At 49.2% G+C, this 12,317-nt stretch overlaps 1 annotated feature.

Annotated features, from left to right (window-relative positions):
* Positions 9,536 to 9,585: an enhancer, noted in NCBI's record as "active region_10921". NCBI's record gives its function as "activates an Ori minimal core promoter by ATAC-STARR-seq in GM12878 lymphoblastoid cells {active_cell/tissue: GM12878}" and the evidence as "EXISTENCE:reporter gene assay evidence [ECO:0000049][PMID:35858748]".

Raw genomic sequence — 12,317 nt, forward strand, 5'->3', positions numbered from 1 at the left:
ACGTGGGGTGAGGAGCCTGTGTCTAGGGCTGCCCTGTCTTCTGGAAAAAGTTCCTCTCCCCCTGGAGCTGGAGAAGGTGAAAGAGGGGATCTGGAGGGTGCAGCCTCCCCTACCCTAGCACCCCAGCCTGGCCCACGTGTGGCTGGAACCCGCCTGCCTCCAAGCCTGGGGCTGCAGCCTGGAAATCGATGGGAGGGAACCACGTGCTCCTGCTTACCCAAAAGCTGGCTGTCCCGAGCCTGGGCCTCTTGATTCGCTCCACTTGGTTCTCCTTCCCCCCACAGCCTGGTGCCACACCTCCTAGTCCTTCCTCCACAAAGCCTTCCTCCACACCACCACCCAAAGTCCAGAATCACACAGTTCACCCACCCCCACACTCTCTCTAACTGTATTTCTAGAGGGGAACACTTCCCTGGGTGAGGATGACACCCCTGTCCCTTTCCTGGGAAAGCTTGATCACTTTCTCCCTCCGGGTCACAAGGGTTTTCAGGGCCACATTTTCAGGCCACCTCCCGAGCACATATGAAGAGAGGTGGCATCAAAACAGACCTCCACCTGGCAGGTAGTCCTTGACCTTCCTGCCTTTACTGAGCCTTTTTCCTCCCCCTCATCCTTCTAGCTTTAAGAAAACATCGGCTGGGCGACGTGTCTCCTGCCTATAATCAAAGCCCTTTAGGAGGGTGAGGTGGGAGGGTTGCTTGAGGCCAGGAGTTCAAGACAAACCTGGTCAACAGAGCAAGACCTCATCTCTACAAAAAAAAATTTAAAAAACTTGGCCGAGTATGGTGGTGCATGCCTGTAGTCCCAGCTACTCAGGAAGTTGAGGTGGGAGGATCGCTTGAGCCTAGGAGGTTGAGGCTGCAGTGAGCTGTGATCGTGCCACTGCACTCTAGCCTGGGTGACAGAGCAAGACCCTGTCTCTAAAAAAGGAAAACTTCACATTATATGCACTTTTGGTAAACCTCATATCCTTTTAGGAACTGAAATGAGATACACATTAATAAATGAATAAATATTACCTGCTTTCTCCAGACTGTCCTTTAATGCATCTTTTCCTCTCCTTGCTCAAGGACACTTGGGGTCTGAGGAGAAGGGGCAGGTACTGAGACGAGGGGACTGGGTGCTCCTCTAGGACCTGAGCCACTCAGGTTTTTGTAATCAGCTGCTCTCTGAGGAAGCACCTGAAACTTCATGGCTTGAAACCACCACCATCGTATTTGCTCCCAATTCTTCCCTTTTTTTTGAAACAGAGTTTCACTCTTGTTGCCCAGGCTGGAGTGCAGTGGCACAATCTCGGCTCACTGCAATCTCCGCCTCCGAGATTCAAGCAATTGTCCTGTCTCAGCCTCCCAAGTAGCTGGGATTACAGGCGCATGCCACCATGCCCAGCTAATTTTTGTATTTTTAGTAGAGACAGGGTTTCATCATGTTGGCGCTGGTCTCAATCTCCTGACCTCAGGTGATCTGCCCACCTCGGCCTCCCCAAAGTGCTGGGATTACAGGTGTGAGCCACAACACCTGGCCTTGTTTTTTTTTTTTTTTTTGTTGTTGTTGTTGTTTTATTTTTTTGAGACGGAGTCTCACTCTGTCACCCAGGCTGGAGTGCAGTGGTGCAATCTCGGCTCACTGTAAACCTCTGCCACCCAGGTTCAAGTGATTCTCCTGCCTCAGCCTCCTGAGTAGCTGGGATTACAGACGTGCACCACCACGCCCAGCTAATTTTTGTATATATATATTTATTAATAGTGATGAAGTTTTATCATGTTGGCCAGGCTGGTCTCAAACTCCTGATCTCAAGTGATCCACCCGCCTCGGCCTCCCAAAGTGCTGGGATTACAGTCGTGAGCCACCATGCCCAGTTCCCTTTTGGCTGAACTCTCTGGGCAGTCCTTCTGCTGGGCTGGCTGATGACCACCCGTGTACCTGTGTTCACAGATAGCTGAAGCCGGGCCTCCCTCTTCTTCTCCACATGCCTCTCCCTGTGGTCTCCTGACATGATCTCTAGGGTAAGTCTAAGGTAGCCAGACTTCTTTTTTTGTTTGTTTGTTTGTTTGTTTGTTTTAGACACAGGGTCTTACTCTGTCGTTTAGACTGGGGTGCAGTGACACGATCACAGCTCTCTGCAGCTTCAACTTCCTAGGCTCAAGTGATCCTCCCACCTCAGCCTCCAAAGTAGTTGGGTCTACAGGTGCATGCCACCACACCTGGGTAACTTTTTTTTTTTTTTTTTTTGAGACAGAGTCTTGCTCTGTCGCCCAGGCTGGAATGCAGTGGCACAATCTCGGCTCACTGCAAGCTCTGCCTCCCAGGTTCATGCCATTCTCCTGCCTCAGCCTCTCGAGTAGCTGGGGCTACAGGCGCCCGCCACCATGCCCAGCTAATTTTTTGTATTTTTAGTAAAGACGAGGTTTCACCATATTAGCCAGCATGGTCTCGATCTCCTGACCTCGTGATCAGCCCGCATCGGCTTCCCAAAGTGCTGGGATTACAGGTGTGAGCCACCGCGCCCGGCCGTTTTTTTTTTTGTTTGTTTTTTTTTTTTGAGACAGAGTCTCATTCTGTCACCCAGGCTGGAGTACAGTGGAGCGATCTCAGCTCACTGCAACCTCTGCCTCCTGTGTTTAAGCGATTCTCATGCCTCAGCTTCCCAAGTAGCTGGGCTTACAGGAGGACACCACCACACCCGGCTAATTTTTGTAAAAAAAATAATAATTTTAAAAATTATTTGTAGAGACAGGGGTCTCCCTATGTTGCCCAGTATGGTGTCAAACTCCTGGGCTCAAGTGATCCTCCGGCCTTGGCCTCCCACAGTGCTAGGATTACAGGTGTGAGCCACCATGCCCGGCCTATGCTAGCCAGACTTCTGATGTGGCTGCTCAGGGCTTCTGAGAACACAAAAGCAGGAGCTGCTAGGCCTCCTGATGGCTTAGGCTGGGACCTGGCACGGAATGTCACTTCTGCCACGTTCTGTAGTTAAGCATGTCATGGGGCCAGCCCAAGCTCAAGGGGAAATACATGAGGCGAGACAAGAATACTAAGAGGCCGCATTCATTGGGGGTCAACAAATTGACAGACTATAGTGACATACACAGAACTGAGCGGTGCATGAAAAATTCTAACAATGGTAATTTGGGGTCGTGGGAATGAGGGTACTTTGTGCTTTCCTATTTTTACATTTGAAAAAAGACAGGAAATAAAGGGGAGGCTGAAACAAGGCATCCAGCTCAGCGTCTGAGCAGAGCTGTCTCAGGCAGCTGTCACTGCAGGCCCCCTCGGTCCCCGGGGAGTTAGGGCCTCCTGAGGCCCCAACGTGGGAGAGGGCAGGGGAGCTGTCCCTGACTGTCAGGGCCTATCAGTGTGGCAAAAGGGCTCTTGTGCTGGGCCTGTCATTCACAACAGGCCTGATATGAGACATCGTGTCTGAGTGAGGTTACTCAGTGGCCAAGGCATCCTGTCAAAGCCAAAGAAGGTAATGTGCGTCACTCGTCACATAGGTCTCAACTCGGGCCCCATTCCTGAGGCTCAATGCCTATAATGCACCTTAAGTGTTATCTATTTATTTATTTATTTATTTTTGAGATAGAGTCTCACTCTGTCGCCCAGGCTGGAGTGCAGTGGCGCGATCTTGGCTCACTGCAACCTCCACCTCCCAGATTCAAGCGATTCTCCTGCCTCAGCCTTCCAAGTAGCTGGGATTACAGGCATGCGCCACCACACCTGGCTAATTTTTATATTTTTAGTAGAGATGAGGTTTTGCCATGTTGGCCAGGCTGGTTTTGAACTCCTGACTTCAGGTGATCCACCTGCCTCAGCCTCCCAAAGTGCTGGGATAACAGGTGTGAGCTACCGCTCCTCGCCTGTTTTGATTTTTTTAGAGATGAGGTCTCACTCTATGACCCAGGCTAGAGTGCCGTGGCACAATCAGAGCTCACTGCAGCCTCAAACTCCTGGGCTCAAGTGATCCTCCCATCTCAGCCTCCTGAGTAGCTGGGACCACAGGCATGTGCCACCATGCCTGGCTCTCTTGTTTTTCAATGAATCTTCTAATCTCTTCCTTCTAGAGTGGTCCATGGACCAGCAGTGTGGGTATGACCCATGAGCTCATTAGAAATGCAGAATCTAGGGTCTCATCCCAGACCTGCTGAGTCAGAATTTGTATTTTAAGGCCAGGCCTGGTGGTGCACATCTGTAATCCCAACACTTTGGGAGGCCGAGGAGGGTGGATTGCTTGAGGCCAGTAGTTCGAGACCAGCCTGGGTAATATGGTGAAACCTGTCTCTATTAAAAATACAAAAAATTAGCCAGTCATGGTGGCAGGCACCTGTAATCCCAGCTACTCAGGAGGCTGAGGCAGGAGAATTGCTTGAACCTGGGAGGCAGAGGTTGCAGTGAGCCAAGATCATGCCATTGCACTACAGCCTGGGCAACAGGGTGAGACGCCATCTCAAAAAAAAAATAAGAATTTGCATTTTAATAACATCCCTAGGTGATTCCTGTGCACATTAATGTTTGAGAAGCCTGCTCAAATCATCTTATTAAGGTCACCATTATACTACATTGCATTTTTTTTGGTGGTAGTGATAACATCTCATTTTATTCAACGCAAGCATTTAAAACAGCATTGTCCAGTAGAAATTGCCTTTACCTGCACTGCCCAATGTGGAGGTCGCCAGCCATGTGTAGCTACAGAACACTTGAAATGTGTCTAGTATGATAGAACTGAATCTTAAATTTTATTTAAAGTTAATTAATAAAATCTTAATTTAAGGCTGGGCGCAGTGGCTCACGCCTGTAATCCCAGCACTTTGAGAGGCCAAGGTGGGAGGATCACCTGAGGTCAGGAGTTCGAGACCAGCCTGGCCAACATCGTGAAACCACGTCTCCATTAAAAATACAAAAATTAGCTGGGTATGGTGGCGGGCGCCTGTAAACCCACTTACTCAGGAGGCTGAGGCAGGAGAATCGCTTGAGCCCAGGAGGCAGAGGTTGCCATGAGCCGAGATCATGCCCCTGCACTCCAGCCTGGGTGACAGAGCGAGACTGCATCTCCAATAAATAAATAAATGAAAATAAATTTTAAGTAGCCACACAGCTAATGGCTACCATATTAGATGGCATGAATTAAAAATCTACTTTGTGTTTTGGCCGGGCGTGGTGGCTCATGCCTGTAATCCCAGCACTTTGGGAGGCCAAGGCAGGCAGATCACAAGATCAAGAGATCAAGACCATCCTGACCAACATGGTGAAACCCTGTCTCTACTAAAAATGCAAAAAATTACCTGGGCGTGGTGGCGAGTGCCTGTAGTCCCAGCTACTTGGGAGGCTGAGGCAGGAGAATCACTTGAACCCAGGAGGTGGAGGTTGCAGTGAGCCGAGATGGCACCACTGCACTCCAGCCTGGGTGACAAGAGCGAGATTCTGTCTCAAAAAAAAAAAAAAATCTACTTTGTGTTTTAATGGCTCATAAACCGCTTGGGTGCGGTGGCTCATGCCTGTAACCCCAACATTTTGGGAGGCTGAGGCAGGCAGATCACGAGGTCAGGAGTTCGAGACCAGCCTCGCCAACATGGTGAAACCTCATCTCTACTAAAGATACAAAAAATTAGAGGTGTGGTGCGCGCCTCTAATCCCAGCTACTCAGGAGCCTGAGGCAGGAGAATCACTTGAACCCGGGAGGCGAAGGTTGCAGTGAGCTGAGATCACGCCATTGCACTGCAGCCTGGGCGACAGGGTGAGACTCTTGTCTCAAAAAAAGAAAGAAAGAAAGAAAACAAAGAAAGAAAGGAGGAAAGGAAGAAAAGAAGAAAGGAAGAAAGGAAGAAAATTGCCAGCAGCCTGGCCCCTCCTCTGTCTGCAGGGGGATTTGCATGGCCCGTGTACTCCTTGTTACAGTTTTACAGACAAGGCAGGAAAGATTGTGTCACTGAATGCCATGAAGCCTCAGGAAGCTCCACCTCCTCCACATCCTTATTTGAGGTTGCTGGGATTTCCTGGGGTGGTGGTGGCCTTGGGGTGGAGTTAGGAAAGGGGCTTTGGGTTCAGAGCATCTCCCTCCTGCCCCTCTGCCAGCACACTGACCAAAGTGATCACAGCCTTCTGGGAATGAACCTCTGCTCCCCTATCATTAGTACAGGGATCTCAGCAATACCTTTCCATTAGTGAAATGAGTCAAATTCAAAATAAATGACTGGCTAGAAATGTTATATAGGTACCTCTGTCGCCATTAAAATGGGGCATAAGAATTGGGTGAGCCCAGGCTTGTAAAAGCTTTGGGACATCTTAGTGCAGAACTCCTGCAGGACTCACCCCCCACTCCCACCCACCCACACACTTAAGAAGGAATTCCTGCCTGGTACTGCTCTCTCATCCCATCCTGCTGTCCATGTGTATTAGTCTGTTTTCATGCTGCTAATAAAGACATACCGGAGACTGAGTAATTTATAAAGGAAAGAGGTTTAATTGATTCACAGTTCCACATGGCTGGGGAGGCCTCACAATCATGGCGGAAGGCAAAGGAGGAGCAAAGTCACATCTTGCATGGTGGCAAGCAAGAGAGAGCACGTGCAGGGGATCTTTTTTTTTTTTTTTTTTTTTTTTTTTTTGATACAGAGTCTTGCTCTGTCACCCAGGCTGGAGTGCAATGCCACGATCTCAGCTCACTGCAGCCTCTGCCTCCTGGGTTCAAGTGATTCTCCTGTCTCAGCCTCCTGAGTAGCTGGGACTATAGGCGCCTGCCACCATGCCTGGCTAATTTTTGTATTTTTAGTAGAGACGGGGTTTCACCATATTGGTCAGGCCGCTCTTGAACTCCTGACCTCAGGTGATCCACCTGCCTCGGCCTCCCAAAGTGCTGAGATTACAGGTGTGAGCCACTGCACCCGGCTGGAACTCTCCTTTCTAAAACCATCAGACCAGCAGGGCATGGTGGCTCATGCCTGTAATCCCAGCACTTTGGGAGGCCAAGTCTGGTGGATCACCTGATGTCAGAAGTTTTAGACCAGCCATGCCAAAATGGTGAAGCCTCGTCTTTACTAAAACTACAAAAAAAGTTAGCCAGGCATGGTGGTGTGCACCTGTAATCCCAGCTACTCCAGAGGCTGAGGCAGGAGAATCACTCCTGGGAGGCGGAGGTTTCAGTGAGCTAAGATCATGCCACTGCACTCCAGCTTGGGTGACAGAGCAAGACTCTGTCTCAATAATAATAATAATAATAATAATAATTAAATAAAACCATCAGATCTCATGAGACTTATTCACTATCACAAGAACAGCATGGCAAAGACCCGCCACCAGGTCCCTCTCACAACACAGGGGAGTTATGGAAGCTACAATTTGAGACTTGGGTGGAGACACAGCCAAACCATATCATCATACATCCTAAAACATGCACTTCCACCGAGCTTTAGGTGTAGGTGGCATGAACCTATTTTGCATGCTCACTAATAATTTTTTTTCTCCTTCCTTAAGGGCTGAGATTTGCTTTCATTGTAGCACACTACCAGCAGTCAGGTGGAGGGAATGAGAACTACAGCTCTCCCTGCCTTTTACTGCTGGGGGCTTAGGTCAGTTTCTAATACCAAGAAAAGAGGTCTCAGGCTTGTAAAGAGGCTTTAGGTTCAAGTAAACATGAGGACAGTCTTGGAGGATGGGAAGGAGCTTTGGAGAGTGACTTGGAACCCAAAGGCTAGTGTATTTATGGCCCGATTTTACTGTATTTATTGATTTTACTGTATTCCCTCCAAAATACCAGGATTTACAATTTAAGACTTTATGGAAACAGGGGCTGGGGGATACCCAAGTGATGAGAGAACCCATGGAGGCTTATATTGATATTTATTGCTGTCATTCAATAGAAGAGTAGAGGAGCTTGGTGACCTTTTATACCCCTTTAACAAGGGGTTCTGTTCAATCCCTTTCCATATCCACCCCTGGCACACTGTTTTGCTTTGCTTCGCTTCAGACACCATGGATACCAAGAGGCATGATTTTTCCAAGGCTCATGCTCTATCCAGATGTTCAATGTCTTGTGGATTTGCAATTTGGAGTGCCTCTATCACAGCCCAGAGGCACTCGTGATTTGCATTACAGGACCTCACACTTTCAGGTTATGGAAAATGTATGGAGATGTCAATGACATATTAGAATTCTGTATAAAAGGAGGAACTTAAGGGTTCTTTTGTTTGTTTGTTTTTGGTAGGAGGAGGTTGCAATCTGCAGATGTGCCTGGGTGGTGGGTGGGGGCGGGGAGGGCGGTGTTTTACGTTTCTTTTCTCTCCCAGCAGTGTCTGACCTCTCTACGCTCAGATGTATCATATCCACTCACTCAAATGTGGAGCCACTCTCAGATGACAGAATCACCAAAAAACACCAGGAGAAGGTATTAAGATGCAGATTTCTGGGTTGGCTTTAGACAGAGAGAGAGAATAAAAATGTTATCTCTTGGGGTGGGGACAATTGTCATTTTAATAAGCTGGGTCCCAGAAATATGCATTTTAAATAGGCCAGGGCCAAGGACTCTGAATTTGCTGGATTTTTATTTATTTTTTTAGAGTGTTGCTCTGTTACCCAGGCTGGAGTGCAGTGGTGCAATCATAGCTCACTGCAGCCTCCACCTCCCCGACTCAAGTGATCCTCCCACCTCAGACTCCCCAGTAGCTGAGACTACAGATGCATGCTACCATGCCTGGCTAAGTTTTTTATTTTCTGTAGAGATGGGGTCTCGGTGTGTTGCCTGGGCTGGTCTTAAATTCCTGGTCCCAGGTGATCATCCCGCCTTGGCTTCCCAAAGTGCTGGGATTACAGGCATGAACCACTGTGCCTGGCCCAGCAACATAATTTAAGAATATGAATTAAAATTCAGTAGATTCATCTTCCTGTGGGAAAGGTACATTGTGCACCCCCCGCCCTCCAACCAATTAGGTCTATCCTTATTTATTTAGAGACAGTCTTGCTCTGTTGCCCAGGCTGGAGTGCAGTGGCACAATCTTGGCTTACTGCAACCTACGCCTCCCGGGTTCAAGCGATTTTCCTGACTCAGCCTCCTGAGTAGCTGGGATTACAGGTGCCCACCATGCCCAGCTAATTTTTACGTTTTTAGTAGAGACAGGGTTTCACCATGTTGGCCAGGCTGGTTTCAAACTTCTGACTTCAGTTGTTCTTTTCGCCTCGGCCTCCCAAAGTGCTGGGATTGCAGGCATGAGCCACTGTGCCCGGCCTATTCAAGTCTATTCTAGATGCCTTATGAGCAGACACTTGTGCTCAGCATCAGGAGCCTGACCTTCTAGCAGGAAGCCCTAGGCTTTATTCCCAGCTCTGGCCCATGTGAGCCATGCAGCCCCTGTGAGCTATTTAACTTCTGTGCTTGTCCATAGATGGGGGCAGCGCCACATATAACCTTCCAGACAGGATCCCAAGGGCGCCACATGCAACGGCTATGAAAGCATGCTACCTTCTGAAAAGCACTGCCATGTACTGCGTGGGTCTCCATTGTCGTTAGAAGTCATCTGCAGTGCCAGGCCTTCCCAGGCTCCTGAGAGAACACACATGACAGCGATCAGGAAACTGAAAAAGCTGTTCATGCTAGGCGGCTGGGTGCAGGAAGAAAGGGCAACTACATTCTGTTAATACATTCGGGTGCTGTCATTTCAGAAATGGGAAGTGGGACTTATATGTTACTTTATATTCTTTCTTTTTTTTTTTTGAGATGGAGTTTCACTCTTGTTGCCCAGGCTGGAGTACAGTGGTGCGATCTCAGCTCACTGCAACCTCCGCCTCCCAAGTTCCAGCAATTCTCCTGCCTCTGCCTTCTGAGTAGCTGGGATTAGCAGTGCACGCCACCACGCCCGGCTAATTTTTTTGTATTTTAGTAGAGATGGGCTTTCATCCTGTTGGCCAGGCTGGTCTCAAACTCCTGATCTCAAGTGATCCACCTGCCTCGAACTCCCAAAGTGCTGGGATTACAGGCGTGCCCAGCCCTTCATATTCTTTGAACCATGAGCTCATGAATGTACCATGAGCATGTATTACTTTTATGATTCCCTGGTTAAACACAAATGAGATTTTTACTGTCAGCCTCAGACCCTTGTGTTCAACTAATATGTGACCACATAGTGACTGGGCAGGCCAGCCCTCACTGCTGGGCAGAGCTGACTCCAGTGCTTGATGCAAGGGGATGCCAACACAAAAGAGGACAGGGATGGCATATGGGTCTCCTCAGGAGCATGGGGTCCTCGTTCCACCCCGTTGTTTCTAGAGGGGCTAGCCCATCCCTCTCTGGGCTTCAGTGTCCTGATCAGTAAAATGAGGGGATGAGGATGCAGACAAGAGCTGCAAGATCTTTTTCAGTGAATTTCCTGACACTTAGGGCTTCTGGGTGAAGCCACTGAGGGGCTAGGGACATCGGTTTGGGGTTGTTCTCTGGGATTCTTGCAACCTTCAGAAATGCCCCAGGAGCTGACTGGTGTGGCGCCGGCCAGTCTTCTAGCCTGGCTATAGAGGAAGCAATCAACGGGCCAGGGGCAATTAAGGGCCAGAGTAAATCTACTCTCCCCCAGAATCAGCCCTGTTGGGAACGGCTGTGTGCTATTCCAAGTTCATGCCAATTAACTAACACTCTCTCATTTAGAGGGCAATTCCTTCTAAAACACACTGTGACTTCCAAGGAGCTGGATAATGCAATTCTGCCTGCTCCAATTACCGTGATCCGAGATCACCCAGGCCCAAACTCCATGAGGGCGCCTCAGCCCAGCAGCCTGTCATTCCCTCTTCCCTCAGCCTCACTGGAGGTTGTCGTCTTCCTGGGGAGCTGGAAAGCTGCAGGCAAGGGGCTGTGCAGTCATGACACCACTATTCACCCTGGCCTGGGGCCAGCTCAGATAATACCTCTCATCACCCCCGGGGCCCCTCGCTTCCTTCTTCCTCTGGGATGGGTATGTGAGGCATCTGGGAAGTCACCACCTACCACCCCAAAGGGTGGTGAGGTAATCCCCAGACACGGTCTAACAAGTGCCTGGGGTGAAAGAGGCTCTGTGTGGAGGAGAGTGCCTCCCTGTGTTGCTCTGAACCCCCAGGAGCACTTCACTGATATCCTGGCACCCAGAAGAGATGAGAAGTTAACGCGGTTTTCTTGTCATCACAAAAGCATCTTTCATGCCATAATCGAGTCTGGATTGGAGGGAAGATTTCACTAGACAGTGGCCAGAGGCTAGACACTCTGTTGGTTATTGCCCACCCCTCCACCCACTCAGCCATTTGAGGATTCCTATTGTAAGCAAGAAAGTGAAGGAGACAGGCACACTGCCTAAGAGGGGGATGCTGACATGCTAAGCACAGGGAAGCAGGACGACGTTCAGTTTTGACCAGAGTTAGCCCTGCAAGAGCAGGCTCTGTCACCTGGGCTGAGGGGGTGTGTTCTGTGATGCTGATGACTAGGGACTCAAAGGAGAGGGGCAGCATCCTCCAGAAGGTGGCTCCAGGCTGGTCACCAGCAGAAGGAAAAAGGGGAAAGTTGTCTTAACTGCGCCCACCTGAGTTTCAGGCACTTGACAACTGTCTCATCAGGTAGCTGTGGAGCACCCTCCCCTCCACTTCTCCACCTCCTGTAGCCCCTGCCTCCTCAGAGACTTGGCCATGCTTCCCCACAGCATACTCTGGAGGATACGGATGTGGGGAAAGCGTGCTTCCTGCCATTTAACTTCTCAGAAGGCAGCAATGGTAATGACAAATCCCAGAACTTAATGTTTTTACCTCTAACCAAAGTCAAAATGGCAGGTGCCCACAGTTCCAGTCTGTGCAATGACAGCAAACCCCGGGGAGTGACTGGGGAGGGCACAGAATCTGGAATAGCCTTTTGCTCTTGCATTAACTTTGAAATTTTTATTACAAAAATGTCTTTCCAAAAAAAATTTTTTTTTTGAGATAGAGTCTTGCTGTTACCCAGGCTGGAGTACAGTGGCACTATCTCAGCTCACTGCAACCTCTGCCTCCCAGGTTCAAGCAATTCTCCTGCCTCAGCCTCCCAAGCAGCTGGGATTACAGAAGCGCGCCACCACACCCAGCTAATTTTTTATATTTGGTAGAGATGGGGTTTCACCATGTTGGCCAGGCTGGTCTCAAACTCCTGACCTCAAGTGATCTGCCTGCCTTGGCCTCCCAAAGTGTTGGGATTACAGGCGTGAGCCACCACGCCTGGCCAAAAACATTGTTTTTTTTAATAGTAGAAGAGAGTATACAAGTGATTTAAAAAAACACAACAAAATCATTCTGCCCAGGTAATCACTGTATTAGTTGTGTGTCCTTCAAGATCATATAGGACACCA

This window comes from Homo sapiens, chromosome 16, assembly GCF_000001405.40.
Source record: "Homo sapiens chromosome 16, GRCh38.p14 Primary Assembly".
NCBI classification, from domain to species: domain Eukaryota; kingdom Metazoa; phylum Chordata; class Mammalia; order Primates; family Hominidae; genus Homo; species Homo sapiens.